Source organism: Homo sapiens, chromosome 21, assembly GCF_000001405.40.
Source record: "Homo sapiens chromosome 21, GRCh38.p14 Primary Assembly".
NCBI classification, from domain to species: Eukaryota; Metazoa; Chordata; class Mammalia; order Primates; family Hominidae; genus Homo; species Homo sapiens.
In genome coordinates this window covers 38927275-38952047 of record NC_000021.9, presented here as the reverse complement: position 1 = coordinate 38952047, position 24773 = coordinate 38927275, and the positions used below count along the sequence as shown (strand labels likewise).

Below are 24773 nucleotides of genomic sequence, written 5' to 3'. Positions count from 1 at the left end.
GGTCCTGAGGAATTCTGGGGAGAGGCCCCTACAGGGCAGGAGAAAGGTTTTACCTTCCCCTGTCCTCTCTCTCCTTCGATGAGCACAGCTGTACTTTAAATATGTGATACCCTGGGAAGGCAGTAAGATTTCATGGGAAGAAAAGCTTCCCAAAGACGTTATCCTTTTTTAAAAATGATGAAAGGTGAGTTCAGCTTTCTGGTATCTTTGCTAGATGGGAAATTCTATCATTTCTTTGGGAATCGGCCATGTGTCATTTTTCAGCATCACCTAGACCTCTGGGCTGTGGCCCTTCTAAAACAGAGTCTTCTATAACCTCATTTGGCAGATGAAAATGGCAAGCACCCCTGGCTCTTGCCATTTTATTTATCTTCAGAGAAATTTTGGCCAAGGGAGTTTCTAGGCATGTGGGACTTAGGTTCCAATGGGAAGGCTGTGGACAGATGGGATGAATTCCCCTTTGCCTCCTCCCACCCTCAGCCTGCTGAATCAGAGTCTGCATTGTCATGAGATTCCCCAGGTGATGGTCACAGTGTTGAAGTTTGAAAAATGCTGGTAGCTAAGGCAAGTTCAAAGGCCTGAAGGTCAGCACCTGACTCCACTTCCTCATGGTAAAAAGAAGAAAAACCAAAACAAAACATCTTGTAGAATCTAGCAGAATTTAGGAATAGATGCTGCCTTCAGCCCAGTCCTGAGCACAGGGGAATCAATCACTCCATCAAAAAATCGGGTGAATCTCACTCTAACATCTGTGGTTCTTAGGGCTTCATAGGATCTCTAGGAGTTGCCCTGGATGTAAGTTTCAACCCTGGGGAAAGTTCCCATTTCACTTTAGATTCAGAGTTGAAATCCAACTTTTGGGTCTAAAGATACTCAACTGGGTTTGCTCTTAAACAAACATAATTAGGAAATTGAAAAATATACACACATGAACTTATACATAGAGATATTTAACTAGTTGATGTTTCTGGATGGTCTTTAAAGAGCTCTTTACAGCTGTGTGTAGATAACACTCATGGGCAATGTACTCTAACTGTCCCATAAACCAGGAAGGCAGGGCACGTTGCACAATACATCATCCCATCACTTGACTGTAATAAAATGACTACTTCCTTGATGAATGTGTACCAGTCCTTTCATATGTTATCTGAGTAAATGATAAAAGTGGCAATTACATTTTAATAGGATATGTGTCCAAATCTTCTTTTTTTTTAAACCATTGCCAACATATACAATGAACAGTCTGTATATTTACATGCTCCAAGGTGGAGTCTAGGTTACTTTTATGGTAAACGTATGGAAACTTGCTGTACTTAGGAAGTTTTTTCTCCTGCCAATGAAGTTTTTCATTAACCAAAGCTTTTGTTTTGGTTGCTCCATTCCTGTTCTATGAATCAGAAATAATATGCATGTTATGATAAAATATCCACTCTTTAATGCAAACAGAAAGGCTAAAACACTGGGATGATATCTCTGAGACTGTGTTTGAGTGTTATATTAGTCTGTTCTCACACCGGTAATAAAGACGTACCTAAGACTGGGTATAAAGGAAAGAGGTTTAATTGACTCACAGTTCTGCAGGGCTGGAGAGGACTCAGGAAACTTACAATCATGGTGGAAGGGGAAGCAAACATGTTCTTCTTCACATGGCAGCAGCAAGGAGAAGTGCCGAGAAAAGGGAGAAAAAGCCCCTTATAAAACCTTCAGATCTTATGAGAACAGCAGCATGGGGGTAAGCACCCCCATGATTCAATTACCTCCTACTGGGTCCCTCCCACGAGGGGATTATGGGAAATACAAGTCAAGATGAGATTTGGGTGGGGACACAGGCAAACCATATTAAGTGTTTTAAAAAGAAAGCCAAAGATAAAAAGAAATGTTTCTGAGATCCTAAGCACTTCACCTTTCTGAATCATCCTGCATTTCTGGAACACAAATGAGCCGATTAAAAATTGCTGGTATTATTTAGATTACAATGAGAAGTTTTCCCTTCCATCATCTCTAAGCTTTTGATCATTTGCACTTTTTGAGTTTTCTTTGCTGTAACTTGAGTTGTTTCATATACAGCAAATTTTCATAATAAATACAAAACGATTATTCTCCAGCTTAAAACGTGAAACTAAGAATTGCTTATAATCAGAAGCTTTTCAGTGGATACTCATGGTTAATAATACGTGGTTCAAAATCAAAGAACCATCTCATGTATCTGACACCTGTCACCTATGCTCTTTCAATCAATCAATACTACTTCTTGAGCATGTATGCTATCAGCCTTGAGTTAGATCTTACAAAGGTGTTGAAAATGCAAAAGTCATTGAGAGTTTCACCAATCTTACCATTTAAATGCTTTCTCTGAAGCAAAGGAAATGAGCCATACATTCTGTGTTGAATCAGTGGTATGGATGAGGCCCTGTTCTGTCGTTCAGAACAAGCACGGAGCACTGATGCTTGGGGGTGAAGATGCCACGAAGCCCATCCTTCATGCTAAAGTCAATAAGGCATTTTTTTTCCCCCGGAAGCCAAACATATCTTGAGATTCCATTTTGAAATAAGGTCTGCCCTTGTTTCTGTTCTTCATGTTCATGCTGAGGAGATGCAAATGCTGGATTAAAGAGCATCTCACTCAATTAATAGAAATTAAATAAAATCAAGACCATTTTGGTCCATAGATACTAGGCCTTCATAGAGTCAACTAATACTATCTAGATATTTGTTTGGGTCAGGACTTATTCAGATGCAGGTGACAAAAACTGAGCTCAGACTGGCTTAAGAAAAAAGGGAAGGCAGAAGGAAAGGAGGGGCTTTGGGTCCAGCTGGATCCAGAGTCTCAGATGACATCATCGAGACAACTGTCTCAGCTGTAGCTGCCTCTGCTTATCTTCAGTTTCACAGATTTTCTTCATATGGCTTCAAGATGGTCCCTAGTAATTTCTGTGACTACATAGTAGGACCTCCAGACCAAGTGTGACCTCTTACCTTAAGCTCCATTTCAGTTCCCCCAAAGAACTCTGATTGGGCCAGCTCTGGGCCAATCACAGTGTGTGGGGGTGGGACTGGGGTGGGACAATTTCATAGGCCTGAGTGACTGCCCACTTCTAGGGTGGGTGAAGTGGATCACATGGCCATGACATCCACTGGAGAGACCTGTGTAGAAGGGAGGGAGAGCAGTTTGGGAAGGAAAGGAGGCAGGACAGGCAACACATGTCAGCATTGTATTATTGTTTGACAAAAAGGCAGTATTGCAGAGTAAATATCGAAAAATCCACGTAACCTGGGAGTAAATGATTGATATGGGCTTCTATCCTGGCTCTATCACTTACTAGCGATATGACCTTGAGCAAGTTACTTAACTTTTGTGTCTCACTCTCCTTCCTGGAGGTGGAGGTAACAATAGTACTCCACCTCCTTGGGTTGCTTTGAGAATGAAATAAGCTACTTCATACAAAGCCCTTGGATTAGTGCCTGGCATATGGAAATGTTACATAGTTGAGTGCCTTCTGCCTGGTGTTGTTTAAACCACATATTTTTGATATGAAACAGTCCCTTTAGTGGGGAAATAAGTAACCACCCATTGATTCATTCATTGATTCATCAAATATTAAGCACCAGTGAAGGGTCAAGTACTTGCCTAGCACGGGGGATGCAGCAGTGACCTAGACCCAGACCTGCCCTTGAGGAGCTCATAATTGTAGAGGCAGAAGGTACTGAAGAAACGAGATTATAATGAAACGTGGGAAGTGCTGCAAGGGGTGTGTCGCCTGTGCCACCTGCATCTCATGGCAGCCATGGCTCTAGTCCGAGGTCTCCAAATGAGCATGTCTCTAGTGGCACTCCCTCTGTTATCTGCCTCTCTCTCTCCCCAGTTTCCCACCTTTTCTTTTGAGATCCTGTGCCCCTTCATCAACAAACACCATCCCTACTGCAGATAGAGGAGGTTCCAGCCCTGCCTCCTTTCTTTGTGTCTTATGGAAATCGGTGCTTCACCTGGAGATGGAGACATAGCTGGTCCCGGGTTTGTGGCAGTGAGTCTCATTGAGGGAGGGTGTGTGTGTAATTTTACCCCCCAGGGGACATTTGGCACCTTCTGGAGACAGTTTTGGTTGTCACACTGAGGGGTGCTCCTGGCATCTTGTAGGTAGAGGACAGTGGTGCTGCTCAGCCTCCTACAGTGCCCAAGACAGCTCCCTCAACAAAGACCTGTGCAGCCCTAAATGCCGTGGACGCTCTTCAGGGTAAAGGGCTTGCAGAGGGAGCTTGTTGAGGGGAGGGACTGGAGATGAAGCCCCACAAGGCTTGCATTGTGGAAAATGGAGAAGACAGACTCTTTTGCTCGAGCCTGGCTATAGGCACCCAATGCGTCCATGTAGAGGGGACATGGCTGCCCATCTGCCTGTCTTGGCCTCTCCAGAGGTGTGGGGAGATGCACTGGCTACCAGAAAGGAGAGATGGAGGGAGGTGACACCAGCACCAACCTCCGTTGGCCAGGCTCTCCTGCTGCTCTCCCCTTCCTACTGAGTTGCCAGCACTTATGAAACCATCATTACAGGCATTTTTGTTTTCTGGAAACAGAACTACCACTTCCTTACACCCTAATATGAGAGGCAGAATTTGCTATATTTCCCCCAGATCTTCTTCCATAGCGTGGAATTTTTGGCTGGGCACATGACTGCCTAGAAGAAATCACTATGTTTCCCTGCTTCCCGTGAAACTACGTGAAGACATGTGGCTGGTTCTGGCCAATGAGGTGACAACAACAAACCCCACTGTAGATGCAGACGCAGATGTGGTGGCTGGGTGCCATCTTGGACCATGAGACAAGGACCTCACCTTAGAGGGGGCCAAGTGGAAGAATGAAGAGGCCAGGTCCTGCAGGCTCGGTGAAAAAGAGCTGGATCATTTCTGCCACACTTTGCAGGGAAAATGAAGCCAAACCCAGTCCCGTGTTGTTTAAGCCACTGTGATTTGGTATCTATGATACTTGCAGTCAACCCGATCCTAACTGGTAAAATAGGTAAATTCATTCTTGGACTTTCAGACTTTTACCTTTTAAAAGTTTTGGGGGCTAAAGTAGAGGGCTGCCTGAATAGTGACTGGAGACTGGTGGCCCTTCTGGCAAGCTGCCTCCGAGAGCATGTCCCATGGCGCAGACACCCAGGAAGGAGAGGGATCATTTCTTGTATATGCGCTTCCACATATTCCCCAAGATATATGGGCTTCCACATATGTCCCTGGGGCTCCTGCCCTACAGGAGTGCTTGGTACACCCTGCTAGACCCTTGCCTGATCCCAGAGCCCCTTCCTTCTCATTTCCTTCTGAGGTCATTCTTCCCTACCCCTGGGGACAGGGCTGTCCTGATACCTTGTGGTCCCAGCACATCCTCCCCACAGAGAAGAAGAAATGGTCTCAGAGGGTGAGGACTGTTCTGCAGACATAGTCGGCAGATGGAAGAGCTGGGACTTAAACCCAAGTTCCAGGGTGCGTGCTCTCTTCTCCCTCCTTCTCCATCTCTCCCTCTCTCTCTCTCTTTATGTACCACAGTTCTCTTGTCCATAAACATTTGAGTAATATGGAAATATAGAAAGTTTAGGCCAACATAGGATGGTCAAACTTTAAGATGGTTTAATTATTTTTAATGGAGAATAGAGGTTTTTGTAATGACAATATCATCAAATGCTGTGATTAAGTGCTGAATCATAGTTGTTTAAAATACATTTCTTTATCGAGCCAATTAGCAATGCTAAAATTACCCCAGTGCTCTTACTTGAATGACCAAGAGGTTCAAAACACAAAGTTCCGGAGCAGGAGAATTAGACTGACTTACACAATAAATTATTCTTTAAGAGGAAAATCCATTTTCAAAAAATGTATACCCAAGAAGTGAGAAATGAAAATCAGGCTGAATGATGAAATGTTTTTTCACATTGTCGGAAAAATACAAGTCTCAGGAGTTGGCTTCAACAGCGCAGCCAGCGTTTCCGCAGGGCTGAGGACTGGGCTCGTGGACGGGGCTGCCCGCAGGCCTCAGTGGTGACAGTTCCAGAGCTGCGCGCACTCTGCCTGGCTGAGTGGATGCATTACCTTGCTCTCTAGAAATAATGGGAATTACCCACTTAATCCTTGGCACAAAGTGCTGATAATATGCCAATTAACGAGTAATTAGGAAGATTTTTCCCGAACATTAGGTTCTGGGAGAAAGTCTCATTTGAGAAAGAGGTTTGTATGTCTTCTCTCCTCTTCCTGTGGTTTTCAGCTCAGCGGGCGTCCAGCGAATCTGGGTTTGTTTACAATGACTCCAGGGCTGTTCCATTCACTGATTTGGTTCAAGCAGCGTGTGTAAATCATGCTATGCTGACCCTGGTCATCCCAGAGCCCGCGTGAATAAAAAAGGGGCCTTGCTCTCCCACTGTGAGACAGACTTGCATGGGATTCCTTCAGTGCAGAATTCTGGAATGTTGATGAACACCAGGTAAGCCAGGGAAGGAAAGGGAGGGAACTGCAGGAAGGGAGAGAAATGGCCCTGCCTCGGTTTCTTTCTTTCTTTTTTTCTTTTGAGACAGAGTCTCACTCTGTCGCCCAGACTGGAGTGCAGTGGTGCGATTTTGGTTCACTGCAACCTCCGCCTCCCACGTTCAAGTGATTCTCCTGCCTCAGCCTCCCAGGTAGCTGGGATTACAGGCGTGTGCCACCACCCCGGCTAATTTTTGTATTTTTAGTAGAGATGGGGTTTCACCATGTTGGCCAGGCTGGTCTTGAATTTCTAACCTCAGGTGATCCGCCCACCTCGGCTTCCCGAAGTGCTGGGATTACAGGCATGAGCCACTGAACCTGGCCCCCTACCTCGGTTTCTTTGCTCCACTTCCTGCAGCAGGGACAATGAGATCCCACCATGTTCCACAGGAGATTCCTCGCTGGGAGGGCAGAGCTGGGCGGAGGAGGATGGAGGAGCCCGGAGGCCCCTGCCCAGCAGCGAGGCCCCCCTGTGGAACCTAGAGGGGAAGCAGAAGAGGAAAAGTTGAAAGTGGTTCCAAGTTTCCGACTCTGGGAAAGAAAGCGATAGAGATGGGTAACCGCTGAGTGGCCAGTTCTGGGTGGGCCGGCACTGACTGTGGCCTACAGCACGCTCTGGTCCAGGTCCGCTCCTTCAAACCCATCCACGGAGCACCGTGATGTGCAGGCTTTGGTCTGGGCACCAGGACGCAGTCGTGACAAACAAATCCCCGCTCTCACAGAGTTGATGGTGTAGGAGGTGACATTTCTGCCGAGGCACTGCCGGCGTTTTGGGCTGGATCGTGCTTTGTGGCTGGGCCTTCCTGTGCATTGAAGGATGTTAAGCAGCATCCCTGGCCTCCACTCACCAGATGTCAGGGGCCTCCTCCAATTGTGACAATCAAAAGTGACCCCGGGCACTGCCCACTGTCCCCCGGGAGAAGTGAGGAGCGATGTCACCGCCAGTTGAGAATCATTTGCCTAGTAGAAAAGCCAGGCGATAAATAATATATTGGTGAATAGATGCATGCTGGATGATAAGGAGAAGTAAAGCAGGGGAGGGTGGAGAGGGCGCTGATGGGGTGACAGTGGGTCTCACTGAGAGGTGGTACCGGAATAAAAATAAATAAAATAAAATAAAAATAAAGTCCTGAGGAAGGGAAAAGAGGAGTAGTGCAAAGCCAGGGGCCCATCTGTTGGAGGAGCAGGCGGGAGGGGAGACCTTGGGGAGGAGGCGGAGACACGGGCAGGCTGCGAGGGCCTTTGCAGAGGGTGTGGAAGTGGGACCCCGAGTGCGCTGGAGTCACAGAGGGCAGTGGGCAGAGGCGGATGGCTCCCTCCCACCACTGTCCTGTCACACAGGCCTGTAGGCCCAAAGGCCCACTCGGCTCAGCTGGTTTCTCTCCTGTGGCTCTCACAGACCACCGTCCTGGGGTTGACCAGCTGGGCTTTCATCAGGAGGCTCCGGGAAATCTACTTCTAAACCATTCCAGGCCATTGCCAGCCTCTGGTTCCCTGTGGCTATATGGCTGAGACCCTGTTTCCTTCCTTGCTGTCAGAGCTGGGAGCCATCCCGAGCTCCTGGGGACTCTCTGGTGAATCCCAGACGATCGCCCTTTCAAAAGGGAGATGAAGAAATTGCCTTCATCACTTTGGCAGAGTCTTTTTTGCTGTGTAACAAAGTGTATTCATGTATTCATGGGTTCCGGGATTAGGACGTGGACATCTTTGGGGACTGTTCTGCCTACCAAAGTCTGAAACAAAAGATATGGTGTTATTTTCCTGAGCATTATGCTTTAATTTAATTTATTTTTATTTTTAATTTTTATTAGAGACAGAGTCTTGCTGTATTTCACAGGCTGGAGTGCAAGCGCATAATCACAGCTCACTGCAGCCTCCATCTACCAGGTTCAAGTGATCCTCCCACCTCAGCCTTTCAAGTGGCTGGGACCGCAGGTGTGCACCAGCACACCTGGCTTTTTTTTTTTTTTTTCTCTGTAAAGAAAGGGTGTCTTTATGTTGCCCAGGCTGGTCTCAAACTTTTGGGCTCTAGTAATCCTCCCACCTCGGCCTCCCAGAGTACTGGGATGAGAGGCCTGAGCCACCACATGAGGCCAGCATGATGCTTTTATAAAGGGAACCCTGAGTTGAGCTTGACAAGGGCAGGTCCTTTGCATTGACCGTCATTGATGCCACACGTGGGCATAGTGAGGTGGGCGTTGACAGCAGTAAATCCTGACTGGGCAGCCATGCTCCATGCAAGGCATGGGAGTGATGGTCCCCTCACAGTTCTTGGAGATGGGGACCACTTTTAGCCTGGGTTTTTTAATGGGGGAAGCCAGGCTCAGAAAGACAAGGCTCTCTCATCCAAGAGTGGGCGACCCAGGGCTCAGTGCCTGCCTGCCTATGCTCTAAACCAAGATGTTCTGTGAGATTCTTCTCTCCCACAGCAGCCCCCGCGTGTTTCATTCATGCTCACCTAAAAGGAAACGAGGAACCTCCAGCTTTTGCTCCTCTAGTGGGAATGTGCTTTATGGGGAGCCCTGGGAGAGATGTGGGCTGAGTAGGGAGAAATGAAACGGAAGTGACAAGAGCCCACTCTGGGGGCTTAGGGAAATACGGCATGTTATGTGTAAAGATGAAATAGAGTGGATGTTTCCTAGCAACCAGACTGCTAAGGGACAGGTGTATGTAGGTGGGGGAAGCTGTGTGTGGAAGGCTGTGCTGGGTTCTCAGTGCATGGAGGACAAAGAGCACACTATCTTGTCATTCCTGTGTCAATGAGACTCTCACAGGTAGCTCATGAGACGTGCACCTAGTTAGGGTGGAGAAGCGCCTTCAAACGGCATTGATGTAAATATTCTCCCAACCTCCCTGGAGCACAGCACACAGTCAATGCACAGACAGCGTTGTCTCTAGCTTCCATGTCTACGAAGTTTTATCTGATTCTATTTATACAAAGTTCTAGAAAAGGGAAGTCAAATCTCCCATGTTGCTTTGGGCCAGGAGTGGGAATGATGGCAAAGGCATGTAGAAAACTTTTTGGGGTAACGGGACAATTCTATATTGTTGTGATGGTCATGTATGTTTACTTTTGTCGAAGCTCGTTGGGTTGTGCAAATAAAAATGGATGCATTTTATTGTATGTCAGTTCATAGCAGGAATGATTTTTTAGAAAGGAGTACCATAGGCTTTTCTTGGGAGAAGGAAGCATTGAGGATTGAGTTGAATTCAGATCTTGCCGAGCCAGGGCTAAGTCACTCAGACTCCACATTCCTGCTTTTCCATCATCAGAATGAAGTGATGGCTTAGACCCAATTCCAAGGGGCTGTGCAGATGGGCTTACTGGTCAATATGTGGCTCTCAGAACTAACCACTGAGTGGGCGAGAATGCTGAGCAGCAGCCTTGCTTGCAAATGAAGGACCGGTCAGGGCAGGTGGCTGTTAAGTAGCCACCCGAGTCAAGATGGCTGATTAGATGCTGCTCCCATACTTTCATCTGATGTTGATTTGGGATCTGCACAAGAGCTGTCCTTTGAAGGATGAAAAATAAGCAAAGTTAGGAAAGTGTGAGTTTCCTCTTTGCCTCGCATTAATGGATGGGTGGTAAGACACACAGAGGGTTTCCTGAGGAGCCCAGGGCAGGATCTTACTGATCTCCTTGTACTCTTGGATGCCTGTTTCCCCACCTGGACAATGCCCTGACAAGTTAGTGGTGATAGGGTTCACGCCTGTATTAGTCCGTTTTCATGCTGCTGATAAAGACTTACCGAAGACTAGGCAATTTACAAAAGAAAGAGGTTTAATGGACTCACAGTTCCATGAGGCTGGGGAGGCCTTACAATCATGGTGAAAGGCAAGGAGGAGAAAGTCATGTCTTACATGGAGGGCAGCAGGCAAAGAGAGAGAGAGAAGCAAAAGTGGAAACCCCTTATAGAACCATCAGATCTTGTGAGACTTATTCACCACCATGAGAACAGTAGGGGGGAAACTGCCCCCATCATTCAATTATCTCCCACCATGTGGGAATTATGGGAGCTACAAGATGAGATTTGGGTGGGGACACAGAGCTAAACCATATCAGTGCCCTCATTCAGACCACCTAGGTTTGAATCCTACCTTTAGCTGTTGAAGACTAGGCGGAGCCAGAAGCAGGAAGGCCAGTGTGACAAGCCTCCCAAAATACCCGCGGTGGGTGGGCTTAGGGGCTGAATGCTGTCTCCACCAATTACTTGCTGTAGGAACTTCTCACAAGTTTCTATACCCTCTGTGCTTTAGCTCTTCATCTGAAAATCTGCAACAATAATAGTACCTACCTCTTGTTATTGTTATAAGGTTGTATTAGTCCATTCTCACACTGCTATAAAGAAATACCTGAGACTGGGTAATTTATAAAGGAAAAAGGTTTAATTGACTCACAGTTTTGCATGGCTGGGAAGGCCTCAGGAAACCTACAATCATGGCAGAAGGCAAAGAGGCATGTCTTACATGGCAGCAGGAAAGAGAGAGAATGTGCGCATAGGAGGAACGGTCAAACACTTATAAAACCATCAGATCTTGTGAGAACTCACTCATTATCATGAGAACAGCACTGGGGAAAGCCACCCCCATGATCCAATCAACTCCCACCAGGTCCCACCCTCAACACGTGGGGATTAGGGGGATGACAATTCGAGATGAGCTTTGGGTGGGGACACAGACCCAAACCATATTAAAGGGTTATATAGGATAATGCTTTTGAAGCACTTAGAATAGTGCCTGGCACATGGTAAGTACTATCTGCACATTTGTCAAATAAAATAAACAAATGATGGAATGAATTAATGGGTGCAAAACTCTTGGCACTGGTTCTGGGCCTTTGTGTGTGTCCGTTTATGTTAAAGAGTGGTATTCCTGCTTCAGTGTCTACTTTGGTAGAATGAATTGAAACAGGCCTAGATTTTAAGTAACAGGCATAATGGCTTCTGTGGTCTGTAATGAGCCTTGTATTATCCTCTCATGCCTTGGGTCTTATTATTATTATTTTTTATTTTTGTTTTTATTTTTGAGACAGAATCTAACTCTTATTGCCCAGGCTGGAGTGCAATGGCGTGATCTCGGCTCACTGCAACCTCCGCCTCCCGGGTTCAAGCGATTTTCCTGCCTCAGCCTCATGAGTAGCTGGGATTACAGGCATGCACCACTGTGCCCAGCTAATTTTGTATTTTTAGTAGAGACAGGGTTTCTCCATGTTGGCCAGGCTGGTCTCGAACTCCCAACCTCAGGTGATCTGTCCCCCAGCCTCCCAAAGTGCTGGGATTACAGGCATGAGCCACCGCACCCGGCCCTTAATTTTTAAAATATACTTTTTCCCACTAGAAATCCCAGGCCAGCTTCCCAAGTTCTCACTTCCACATGTCATATTGGCATCACTTTTGAGGACTTCAATGGAAAAAAAAATAGAGATAAATAAATGTTGAAATCCTCAATTTTCTTGGCAAACAAATTATCCATATCTACAGGTAGATATAGATACCTGTATATCTTCTATAAATATCTTCAGAATTTTATATCTATCTGATTGATTGATCGATATAGATACATATCCTTTTTATTGAGGGGCCAATGTCTAACACCTATGAATGGCAATAACACCAATAATAATGGACCATATTAATAATACTAGATTTTTTTTTTCTGGAGCCATTTATGCCCCCGGACCTCTTTGGCAGTCTGTGAAACCTGTGGGCCAATTTTCAGAATCAGATTTTTGAATGCACAAAATAAAACACACAGGTTATAAAGGAAACCACTTACATTAAGATTAAGATACCATTATAAAACAATGAATGAGGTAGCAACACATGTGCTATTAATATACCATAACCAGATCTATAACAAGCCTCGGAGGTGGTACTAATAACCTGGGAATTTTGAAGCAGTGATGGGCATAAGTGGTGGACAGGCATAACATGGAATGAGATGATCCAGTGATTTTTACTGGTGTCAAAGTCACAAGGATGCTAACACGCCACTGTGCTTGTTGCCTAGGTACCTATTGAAAGGAAATGATACATTTCAGTTAAAGGCTAGCGAAAATAAAAATGTAATTTTTACCCTTTAAGTTCCTGGATCCAGGTTTAGAGGCCCCTGCCTGCGTCATTCCTTCCCCCTTCCCTTCATTCCTTCTCCTTCCTGCCTGCTTCTAGGGTGAAAACCAGGAAGGCAGGTCTGTCACCCCAGCACCAGAGCCCCTTTATCTAAAAGATCCACAGTCGATTCTCCCTGGCCATGCCTAATAATGCATTGATTTTTGCAATGATCTGAATATCTGTGTCCCCATAAAATTCATATGCTGAAATCCACACCCCCAGGGTGATGATATTAGGAGGTGGAGCCTTTCGGAGATGACTAGGTGGTGAGGGGAGAACCCTCATGACCGGGATTAGTGATCCCATGAAAGAGACCCCAGAGAGACCCCTCACCCCTTCCCATGTGAAGTTAGGGTGAGCAGAGGCCATCGGAGAGGAAGCCTCCCTCACCAGAACTGACTCCGCCAGCGCCTTAATCTCAGACTTCCAGCCTCTAGAACTGCAGAAAATACATTTCTGTTGTTCATAAGTCACCTATGGTATTTTGTGATAGCAGCCTGAACAGACTAAGACATTTTCGTCTCAAAGACATTATAATTTACATGAAGTTAATGTGTCTCGGCAGACGAAGGAAGCTCACGCCTTGTGAAGGAGGTGGCTTGTGGCTATTACCTTAGAATCTCATCAAGTGCTACTTGGATATAAATTTCCTATAGCCCAAATTGTGAGAAGTGGCCAGTGTGGGTTCACAGACTGCCTCGGAGAGGGGCACATGTAGCCCCGAGGGTTTACAAACGCTTGTTCCCAGCAGCGATGATGAAGACCCCACACCAAATCCGAGTTAATTAAAGTGCTTTATTTAATCATCTGTGGTGTTGCTGAGGGAGATGAAGGTGATGCTGAATGCGGGAGCCCGGGTAAGGCAGGAAGTGGAGAGTCATGTTACCATGGCAACAGTGTCCCTGGCCTGCAGTGTGAATGAAGCTCTGGCTCTGAAGACCTCTGTGGTTTTAAAATGCCATCTATGTGAATATGACATCAATTTGTCACAACAAATCTAAATAGAACCTACTGGGGAGGGACAGAGACCCAGAGACCCAGAGGGAGACACTGACACAGAGAGAGTGATAGAGAGAGAGAGGCAAAGTCACAGAGACAGAAAGAGGAGGGGAGAGGGATGGAGAGAGACAAAGTCACAGAGATAGATGGAGGGGGAAGAAGGGAGGAGGCAGAGAGAGAGAGGAGAAAAACAGAGAGACGGTTGACAGATTAGGAGAGGTGCTTCTGGTGCTGCTGGTTGTGCTAGGAAAAGACATGTTTCTCTTTGGACAGATGTGCTGCCAGTGCTGGAAGTAGGCTGACTGTGTCTCTCTCCCTGCTCTGAGCCTGGCACCAGATTTGGCAAAACCAGACAGAGCAAAAGCTGCTTCCAGCCCACAGCACCCAAGGCTGGTCTCCTCTTTCATCGCAGGGCTGCTATGTACAGTTGCACAGGCTGTGCCCTGCACCAAGCACCCAGAAGAGGATACAAGAGCCTGCCTGTGCTCCTTGAAGTATCCCTGAGCCCTGATGAACACCTGTGTCTACGTGGAGAGAGGGGAGCCTCTGCTCACATGAGCAAAGGCAACAGGGGGGGACTGCAGAGGCCTGTTCCCTCCCACAGTCTCTATTTTGCAATAAGGTGGGTGGAAGGCTCTTCCAGATGTATTTACATGCAACAGTAACCTCTTACCCTTACCTCCTTACCTTTGATGAAGACAGTAAAGACCAGCTCCCTGACAAATAGACAGAAATGCATGGCGATTGGAAGAGAGTCTTGGGACCTGCGTAGACTTGAGGTGTGTCCTTGATGTTCCTGTCTTGGGGTTGGTGTGAGAAGCCTGTGGTTTCTTCATGGGAGAGGAATGTCAGCTCTGCCGTCATGAGCTGATTGTTCAGATAGGAGACTTTAGCCCACAGAGCCTCAGTGCACTCATCTGTACAGTGGGGTGGTTTGGAATCACCAATTCATAGCAAAGGTTGTTGTGAGGATTCAAAGAGATGCATCATGTTAAGTGAGTGAGTGTGTGTGTGTGTCTGTGTGTGTGTGCATGTGTGCAGAGCCCTGACATCCCAGGGCAGGCCACCTTGACCACACACAGCTATGCATATTTCGTGCCTGAGATTGCCATGGGTGCAGAGCCCTGGCCACACTCATGGGACTGGCTTCGGCCTGAGCCTTGGCACCATCAGAGTGGGTGCTACAAGGTGCTGTCCAGACATGAGAAAACTTGGATTTGCTAAAATTCCTGCCGCCTCAGGCTGACCTGACCCCTGCTCCCAGGAAGAGGTGTTTGCCCTTTCCTTCCTCCTGTGGCACCAGCCTGATGGGGGGAAGCACAGATCCGACGCTTTGACTGGCAGGACCTCTGATGCCACACGTGCCTTGGGAACTCGTGTCCAGGTGGGAGAGTCAGGCTGACATGGGCTCCTGCAGCAGGTCAGACAAGCCCAAGTTGAGGGCCTGCTCTGCCAGCCATATGACCAGAGTTAAATTCACCGGCCTTGAGTCCCTGCTTCCTCATCTGTGAAATATGGAACAAAACAACCTTGATACCTGAGGTTGAGACGAGACAGAGAAACGATGTGGGGGGTGGAAGTTCCTCCCACAGCTTCTAAGAAATGATCATTCCATGCTAATATGTTGGTTGCTGTCAACCTATGTGATGGGTTATGGCTATGCTGTGGGGAGGAGCTTGCCCTTCTCTGAGGCTCGGTTTCCTCTGTGGGCCAAGGACTGGAGGGGTCTTGGACACTGCGAGCCCTAACAGAGTTGAAAACATGAATCCCAGAAAATGGCATGCACCATGATAACCTTTTATAAAAATATGAAAAAACTAAAACTAAAGAGTGTGTTTTTAGGAATACCTACCCAGGATAAAACTACAGTGTTCAAAAAAAAAGGCCAAACACAGGTTCAGCCCAAGTGGTGCCTCTAGAGGAAGAGGGAGCTGTAAGTGGGTGTGAATTGGTGCTAAGGCTCAGGACACATGGTGTTGGTGACCTCGCTGGGCTGAGAGTATGCAGATGCCTGTGGATGTGCACATACTTACATGTGCTTCCAGTAGGAAGAGGGTGGTAATCTATTTCTGTGAACCTGACATTGGAGAGAGAGAGACGGAGACAAACACAGGGACAGAAACAGACAGAGACAAAGAGAGACAGAGGGAGGAGAGAGAGAGAAAGTGTTCGGAGCCGTTTTTTTCCAGTCTTTCAGGAGCGGCCTGCATCTCACCTTTGGTTCCGTGGAAAGGAGCACTGTTGCCATACACAGCTGTTGAGATTCATGTAAACAAAGGTCCGTGCGTGCTAAGCAGAGTTTGGAGAATGGGTCCTGGAGACCATGCATTATAATTGGGTAGTAAGAGAACGTAAGTAGTGGCTCAAATATTTCAGCAAGGTTTCAAAAGAAATATGATTTACAAAAATGTCATTTGGTGGCTCTATGGTCCAAAGCTGCTTATTTTTCAGAGGAATGAACTCCATTTATTTAGTAAAAGGAACAGAAAGGAATATTCCGGTGCATGAAGCAGGTGCGTGCCTGGAGCTTTGCTTTTTGGAGGTTGCCTCACTTCAACCTCGCAGCAAACTCCGTGAAAGCTTAGACCTCATTGTGTACAGTGGTTAAGGGTGCAGGGGCCCAACAGTGAGTGCTATGGAGGACATGAAGCTACGGGAGACCCCTCACTGTGGGGGCCCCGTCAAATGGTAGGCACTTAGGAAGACCAGCATGGCAGTTTCATGTAAAATGAAACACACACCACTCCCATGACCCAGCAATTCCACTCCTAGGAAGGGTTTGCCCAAGAGAAATGAAAACGTGTGCACCGAAGGACCTGCCCAAGAGTGTTTACAGCAGGTTGATGCATCGTAGCCAAAAACTGGAACCCAAGAGTTAGCCCACAGGCAAATGATAGCAATCTGTGGAATATTGAAACCACGGGTAGGAGAACAGGAGAAAAGGAGCAATGTACTGTTTTATTTATATGATATTCAAGAACAGGTAGGACTGATGGGTGGTGATGGGAATCAGGACTGTGGCTGTCTCGGGACAGGGACTGGACCCACTAGAAAAGGGCAGTGGGGAATTTTCTTGGGGAAATGATCTGTTCTATATCTTGATTCAGGTGGCGCTACACAGGGCTTAAATTTGTCAGATCGTACTGTGAATTTCACTTAATGAAGCTTTGCCTCATTAAGAATGTTTTAAATGGTAAAATCTTTATTAATAAGTACAGGTTCTGAAGACAGACGGCCTGGGTTTGAGTCTTTTCTCTTCTGTCTGTAGGAGTTTGCTGTGGCTGTCATAGCAAATGACCACAAGCTTGATGCCTTCAAACAACACAACTTCATTCTGTTATGGGGCTGGAGGGCGGAAATCCGAAGTTAGTGTTGCTGGGTTAAGGTCAAGGCATTGGCAGGGCTGTGCCACTCTGGAGGGTCTAGGGGAGAATCTGGTCTTGTCTTTTCTGGCCCCTGGTGGCTGCCAGCATTCCCTGGCCCATGGCCCCTCCCTCCGTCTTTAAAGCAACCACGTAGCATCTTGCTCCTTGGTAACAGCCCTTCTGCTCCTGTAGCATATCTTCCTCTGTGTTCTTCTTTAAGGCCTCTTGTCATTGCATTTAGGACATACCAGGACAATCTCTTCATCTGAAAAAATCCCTAAACCCAGCCTGGTGAGGTGGCTCACGCCTATAATCCCAGTACTTTGGAAGGCCGAGGGGTGGTTCACCTGAGGTCAGGAGTTCAAGACTAGCCTGGCCAACATGGTGAAACCCATCTCTACTAAAAATATAAAAGTTAGCTGGGCATGATTGTGGGCACCTGTAATCCCAGCTACTCAGGAGGCTGAGGCGGGAGAATCGCTTGAACCCAGGAGGCAGAGCTGCAGTGAGCTGAGATCACGCCACTGCACTCTGGCCTGGGTGAGAGTGCAAGACTCTGTCTCAAAAAAAAAAAAAAATCCTTAAGCCCATCATTTCTGAAGAGACTTCTGGCCCTGGGACATCACATTTAACTTTAATCACCTCTTTAAAGGCCCCATCTCCGAATACAGTCACAGTCTGAGCTACTAGGGGATAGGGCTTCAAGACAGGAGTTTTTGTTTTTATTTTTTTGAGACAGAGTCTCACTCTGTCACCCAGACTGGAGTGCAGTGTCGCGATCTCGGTTCACCGCAATCTCTGCCGCCCGGGTTCAAGTGATTCTCCTGCCCTAGCCTCCCGAATAGCTGGGATTATAGGCATGTGCCACTACCACTCGGCTAATTTTTGTATTTTTAGTAGAGATGGGGTTCACTATGATGGCCAGGCTGGTCTTGAACTTCTAACCCCAGGTGATTCACCCGCCTCGGCCTCCCAAAGTGCTGGGATTATAGGCTTGAGCCACCGTGCTAGGCCAAGAGATGAATTTTGAGGGGAACACAGTCCAGCTCATAACACAATGTGTAGCAAAACAAATCCAAAAGGGAAGGACAAGGTAAACACGGAAAGGTGGCAAAAGAAGTGGCGGCCCCTGTGGGTGTGTCTGCTCATGTGAACACAAGCTCAGGGACGTTCCCTCCACGTGAATTAACCGTGAACAGAGGGAAGTGGAGAAATGGACTCTGGGCACAGGAAGGATGGAGGGTGTGGGTGACAGCAGCACTCAGGCCACCGCCTGGCAGAGGCAGCTAGCAAAGGGGAGGTCATGAAAGCCGTGTGTGTGTGGGTGGAGGGGGGCTGAGGAAGGAGGGCCCCTCCATCTCCTGGTCTTTTCCATCCATCATTTGAGGGCGTAGACACCAGGAGTTGGCTCATACCTGATACCATCCCATGTTTACACGAAGGGATAGGTCTCAAACTGTGGAGCCTGGACTGACCTCTCACCATTGCCTGGAAACGTGTTAGCAATGCAGAATCCCAGGCCCTACCCAGACCCACGGAATCAGAAACTATGGGGCGAGGAACAACGGGTGTTGCACCAAGCCATTCAGGTGATTCTGATGCCCCCGAAGGTTTGAGAACTGCCGCTGTAATTATGTTGAACTGAACTTCAACTGTAATTATGTTGAACTGAACTTCAACTGAGTGGCCCTGCACAGACCGTGGATATAGAAGAAGGCTGCTGTAACACCAGGTCTTGGGGTGAATCTTCATGTGATCTTCGGAACAAGGATACTTGGCTTGGATCCCAGCCCAGACACCCTGCACCTATAGGATGGGGACCTTGGCCCTGACCTCAGGATGGTGAGAATGAGACATTCTATGGGACACTCACAGCAGAGAGTCAGGCGTGACTAGAGACCTAACAGCATCTTCTTTCCTTCCTCCCTGGGCCCTGCCCCTTGTAGGCAATGGGTATGGCATTATTTTGCTTTTATTTTGCATCCTTCGACATGGGCCACCCTACTTTAAGAAAACTTGGAGGGAGGGAAGGTTGGGGAGGACACACCTCATTTCCCTGGACCCCTTTTGGAACTAGCCAAATCCCCAGAGGGCCTTAATGGTTCTTACTTGGATTTGCAGCCCAAATCGGGCTTAGGTTGAAACCTCAGAAGCAGACAGAAGCAGCAGAAGAGATGTATTAAGAATAGAGATAAAGCCGGGCATGGTGGCTCAAATCCCAGCACTTTGGGAGGGTGAGGTGGGCGTATCATTTGAGGTCAGGAGTTTGAGACCAGCCTGGCCAACATGGTGAAACCCATGTCTACTAAAAAAATCCAAAAAATTAGCTGGGCATGGTGGCGTGTGCCTGTAATTCCAGCTACTTGAGAGGCTGAGGCAGGAGAATCGCTTGAACCCAGGAGGCAGAGGTTGCAGTGAGCTGAGATCATGCCTCTGCACTCTGGCCTGGGTGACACAGTGAGACTCTGTCTCAGAAAAAAAAATAATAATAAAAATAAATAAAAAAATAAATAAAAATAGAGATAGGCAGCGACTTTGAGTGAAAGTGACCTAAAGGGGCATTTTAGGGTGGAACTGTGTGTGAGTTTCCCGGAGCTGCTGTAACAAACAGCCACAAACTCAGTGGCTTCAAACAACAGAAATGGGGCTGAGCACAGTGGCTCACGCCTGTAATCCCAGCACTTTCGGATGCCAAGGCAGGTGGATCGCTTGAGCTCAGGAGTTTGAGACCAGCCTGGCCAACATAGAGAAACCCCATCTCAACAGAAAATACAAAAATTAGTTGGGCGTGGCGGCGGTGCATGCCTGTAATCCCAGTTTCTCAGGAGACAGAGATGGGAGGATTGCTTGAGCCTGGCAGGTCCAGGCTGTGGTGAGCTGTGATCACACCACTGCATTTCAGCTTGGGTGACAGGGTGAGACCCTGCTCAAAAAGAAAAGAAAAAAACAAACCAAAAAGAAAACAGAAATGTATTCTCTCACAGTCTTGGAGGCCAGAAGTCTGTAATCAGTTGGTTCCTTCTTGGGGGCTCGGAGGAAGAACCCTTCTTGCCTCTTCCTGGTTTCTGGCGGTTGCCAGGGATCCTTGGGGTTCTGGGGCTTGCAGCAAATGCCTCCCATCCCATGGCCTCCTTCCTGCGTGTCTTTACATCATCTTACCTCTGTGCCTGTGTCCACATTTCCCTCTTAGGAGGACACAGCCTTTGGATTTAAAGCACACCCTACTCCAGCGTGACCCCATCTTCTTATATTTACAAAGACCCTCTTTCCAAATAAAGTCACATTCCCAGGTACCAGGGATTGGGACGGTAACGTATCTTTTCAAGGGACACAATTCAAGCCACCACACTCAGCATTTATGTAGCAGTGCCGGGAATGATGGCAGCTTTTTGGGCAGGCTCTGCTTTGCAGCGGCAGGCAGGTGGGTGGCAGGATCTGCCCAGTGGCGAGTTTCTCAGAAAGCATTTGTTCCTCTGAAAGCATTTGTTCCTCTGAGGAGGGGGACTTCACTCTGGAGAAACTGGCTGGACTCTCAAAGCCTTGAGAGCTAATGGCAGCTTCTCAGGACCTACAAAATAGAGAAAATGAGGAAATATCGTAGGTTGTTTGAACCAACTATTGCCTATTTAACTTCACAGAATGGAATTAAGAAAAAGGAGAAGCAGAAGTTAGATCTTAATGACTTTTTTTTGTTGTTGTTTGAAGGCAATTTAATGAGAGATGGGTGGGAGCAATAATGAGGGTGGTCTGAAAATCAATGTGGTAACTGTCTCCTGCATCTGGACGGAATGTACTGAAAGGAAGTCATATATGTTTAATGATGTGTTTGTTAGTATTCGAGTTCCTTGTGACTAGCTGGGGGCCGTTCCTTTAAGAGCATGCTTTTAGGGGGAAAAATCTGCTCTTGGAAAAAGAAAATGAACAAACTCAAACCTCCACAAACACTTTGTATATTGCACACTGCTGCACTTTGGCTAAAGTGATGGTGAAGTGGGTGACCTCACTTCCCCCAGGCAATATCTTGCACAACTTCAGAAGGAGGAGTGGGGTCAGTCTGGGGGATATTGCTCCATCTGGAGTTTTCTGAGTTTCTGGCTGCTTGGACATTGCTTGTCTGTTTCCTTTAATAGAGTGGGTGACGGCTGTCTCAAGGCAAAGGCTTTATCCCCAATACCCCCTACTCCTTGCCATTTGACTTTTAACTGTTTAATCCAAAGCTATCTTCAAAAATATAAATAGTCTTAGGAAAATATCAGGGCAGGCCTTGCAGGCATGGCCCAGCAGAGCATCTACAACAACCCAGTTTCTTGGGGTGCCCCCTGATCCACAGGTTGCCAAGTTGAGTTGCATTCTGTGATTTAACTGCTCTATCCACCACTGATAAAGCCTGCCTTCCAGGCAGGCTGTCAGTCAGCAAAGTGTCCTGGCAGAAGAACACTGTCTTAAGGCATGAGGTAGCCTGAACAATGCCCCCTCTCTTCCCCCAAAAAAGCCTGTGTCTGAATCCCTGTGAATATGTTACTCTACACAGCTGATGTGATAAATAAGGTATCTTGTGATGGGAAATTATACTGAATTATCTGAGTGGGCCCTGAAGCATAGCAGAATAATATGCCTCCCCAATATAAGCCATGTTGGTAACAGGATTATTTTAAGCTGAAGGCAATTGAGAAGAAGAAAAGCTCCCTGCCTTCCCCCTGTTTGTCTAAAAGCGGAACATAAATTTGTAAAGGTATCCCCCTCCTTTCTCTACCAAGAAGGGCAAGTGTTAATCATCAGAGACAGCTCTAGACCCTTATCAGCCTGTGACGGCACCAGGGGAATCAACAAACCTTATTAACTAGCCCTTATCTACCATTAGGTTTTCCATATATTTGTCTTCCCACAATGTGTCCTCCCCCTTGAAACTCAAAGCCCTTTTCTCTTGTCTTGTCACTTCTCTACAAAATTGACTGTTCTTTTGTTAAAATTCTATGTAAACCCAAGTTCTATCCACCCCTCTGAGTTACTCATCCCTGAGTGCTCCTCATGCATGGTTAAGATGCACACATTAGTAAACTTCTGTCTGCTTTCCTCTTGTTAATCTGTCCTTCATCAGTGCCTTAGTCCATCTTCTGCTGCTATAACAGAATGCCACAGACAAGATAATTTATTTCAAAAAAGAGAGATTGATTTAGCTCACAGTTCTGGAGGCCGGGAAGTCCAAGTGCTTGGCACTTGCATCTGGCCAAGGTGGGCCCATGGCAGAAGGCAGAAGTGAGCATGTGAGACAAGCAGAGGAAATTAGACTGAACTCATTCTTTTCATCAGGATCCCACTTCTGCAACAACTAACCCACTCCCACAATAATGACATTAATCTATTAATCACCTCTTCAAGGCCCCACCTCCTGATACATTACATTACATCACATTGGCAATTAAGTTTCAACATGAGTTTTGGAAGAGAGACATTCAAACCATTAGCAATTAGTCTCATTTACAAGACTATAGCTGGGGAACCTAGGAGGGTGAGAGTAGACGTTTTTTCCTTCTTTATGGCCCCCAAATTTTGTGTTTTTAAAGCCACTAAGTCTATGGTAATTTACTACAGCAGCTCCAAGGAAACTAACACAAAGGATATTGGAAACTAGATAATGACTGATCAACCCACCCTGTCACCCTCTTGGGAAGCATGAGGAAAAGACTAACCAAGAATTGGCAAGGGCAAAGCAGCATGCTGCAAGAGGAAGCCAGACATGGGAGCTATGTGGCCACAGGCTTGTGACTAGCAGAAGCCATATGTCACAGCAACAGAGAAAAGAGCCACCATCTTCGAGGAGCAATGAAGATGGTACCCCTGGCCCACTGCATTGGTTCCTCCCTACATGCTCACACCTCTGTGCAGCATGGCTGGCAGCTGGTGGGAAAGGTTCCATCCATCAGACATCCCAGTCAAACACTTAGGCCCAAGTGTGAGTGAGCTTCAGACTCCTCAGTGGACAGGGCTGCTGGTGCCAGGGTGGGTTGGGGCCCTGTTGTACAACCTTTCCATCCTTATCACCTCCCAGAAAGAAAAACTAATCGATTTAAACTTAATTTAATTTCCTCACAACAAAGGAAATTCAATACTAAAGAGTAAGAATGTGCTGTAGAGAATGAAAATTTAAAGGGCCACAAACCATTATGATGTCTAAGATTTGTTGACCCCTTAAGAACCAGTTTTCTGCCCTTTGGAAAGAGCATCACCCCCATTAAGGATGTGGGGTGCAGGGAAGGTGAGGCTGCCAGTGAAGAGCTAAGTACACACAGCAGGTGTTGGCTGCAGACAGTTGTCTGGGCTGGCCCATGGCCTGCTGCAGTAGAATCTTTCCTGTTCACATGAAAACATGACTGTGTCAGGAGGTCCAGTTTTTTCTCCACCTCAAATGTGTACAAGTGTAGCTGCTACAATTAAATCAAACTCGTTCCTCTATAATAGCTGATGATATTCAGGCCTCATCAGACTTTTCTCTTATTCTTTGGACTCTGCCTTTTTTGACGTGGGAAAATTTTTGGTTCCTTTTGGACTTTCCATCGTCCCATAAATGTTCCCCTCTCTCTCTTTCTCCCCTACCCCCTAACTGAAGTGGGAGGAAGAGGGGTCTTTGTCACTTCTTTTCACCCTTCCAGTCTGCAAAGTAGTTACTTGAATTAACCGTGAACTAGTGACTTAGAATCTTAAAAGTGTTGAAGCTTCACTGGCTGGGCTCTCTCTGTTTATCGAAAAGCCTCTTTTGTTTTTCCGCAAACCATTGTTTATACGAGACAAAAAATGTTATATTCATGGCAAAGTTGAAATTCTGGAAGATTAAAGATAAATATCTACTCATAGACTTGGCAAGTAGAATTAATGCTACATTTGTTTCATCAACAGGTATTTTTTGAGCCCCAGTTAGGAGTAGGCCGGTGTCTTAGGAACTGGAACTCTGTGGTAGACAAGGTGGAAGATTTCTGCTCTTGTGGTTTTTCAGTGATGGGGCCTCAGTGCCTTGCAGGTGAAATGCAGATACTGAAGCTGAAGCAAGCTCTGTGGCCCATGGCCCATAGCCTACGGCACTAAAGGGCAGGCACCTGCTGTTCTCTGGGCTGTGGAGTCACCTTGCAGCATCTCACCCATTCTTGTTGCCACATTTTTCGAGAGCTATTAACCAACTCAAGTCTGTTGGAGAGGAAACAGGCTGCAGAGGCCTTGGGAGGCCATAGCCCATGAGGAAGGAGGGAAATCATGGGGCAGCCAGTCTGGAAATGGGCACCCTTGAAGGTGCACCTGAGCTGTTCTCAGAAAGCTGGAGGAAGATCTCAAGTAGGAAGAGTTAGACATGGGTTATTTGCTGCAGAGTTCACAACAAGGAGTGATGGGTTGGAAGCTCTGGAGAGGTGACTTTCAGCCCTGGAGAGGAGGCCAATGTGTGTGAGGCTGAAGAATCCCCCCTTCCTGCAAAGATACCCACATTCTAATCTCTGGAACCCGTGAATACATCACTTTATAGGGCAGAGACTTTGCAAATGTGATTAAATTAAGGATCTGGGATGGGAGTTTGTCCTGGCTCATCCAGGAGGGCCCTAAATGCACTCTCTAGTGTTCTTATAAGAGATGGGCAGAAGGAGATTTTACATAGACAGAAGAGGGCCATCTGATCGAGGAAGCAAGATGCTACACTACAGGCTTTGAAGATGGAGGAAGGAAGGGACCAGGAGCCAAGAAATGCAAGGGATGTAGCTCTAGATGCTGGGAAAGGCAAGGAAACAGATTCTCCACCACAGCCCTTGGA

The 24773-nt window shown here is 46.9% G+C and overlaps 1 long non-coding RNA gene across 1 annotated transcript in view, besides 2 other annotated features; it reads left to right on the top strand.

The window, feature by feature from the left end:
- Positions 5383–5511: a silencer, noted in NCBI's record as "fragment chr21:40318461-40318589 (GRCh37/hg19 assembly coordinates)". NCBI's record gives its function as "represses an EF-1alpha promoter that drives an FKBP-Casp9 reporter gene in an ReSE screen in K562 erythroleukemia cells {active_cell/tissue: K562}" and the evidence as "EXISTENCE:reporter gene assay evidence [ECO:0000049][PMID:32094911]".
- Positions 6887–7585: an enhancer, noted in NCBI's record as "H3K27ac-H3K4me1 hESC enhancer chr21:40316387-40317085 (GRCh37/hg19 assembly coordinates)". NCBI's record gives its function as "activates a minimal SCP1, AML or CMV promoter by ChIP-STARR-seq in naive H9 embryonic stem cells {active_cell/tissue: H9 hESC(naive)}" and the evidence as "EXISTENCE:reporter gene assay evidence [ECO:0000049][PMID:30033119]".
- Positions 13619–24773, top strand: part of ETS2-AS1 (ETS2 antisense RNA 1) — a 61139-nt gene continuing 49984 nt past the window's right edge. Inside the window, exon 1 of the long non-coding RNA NR_120405.1 lies at positions 13619–14238. This is a non-coding gene — a long non-coding RNA (ETS2 antisense RNA 1). The remainder of the gene's footprint in view (positions 14239–24773) is intronic.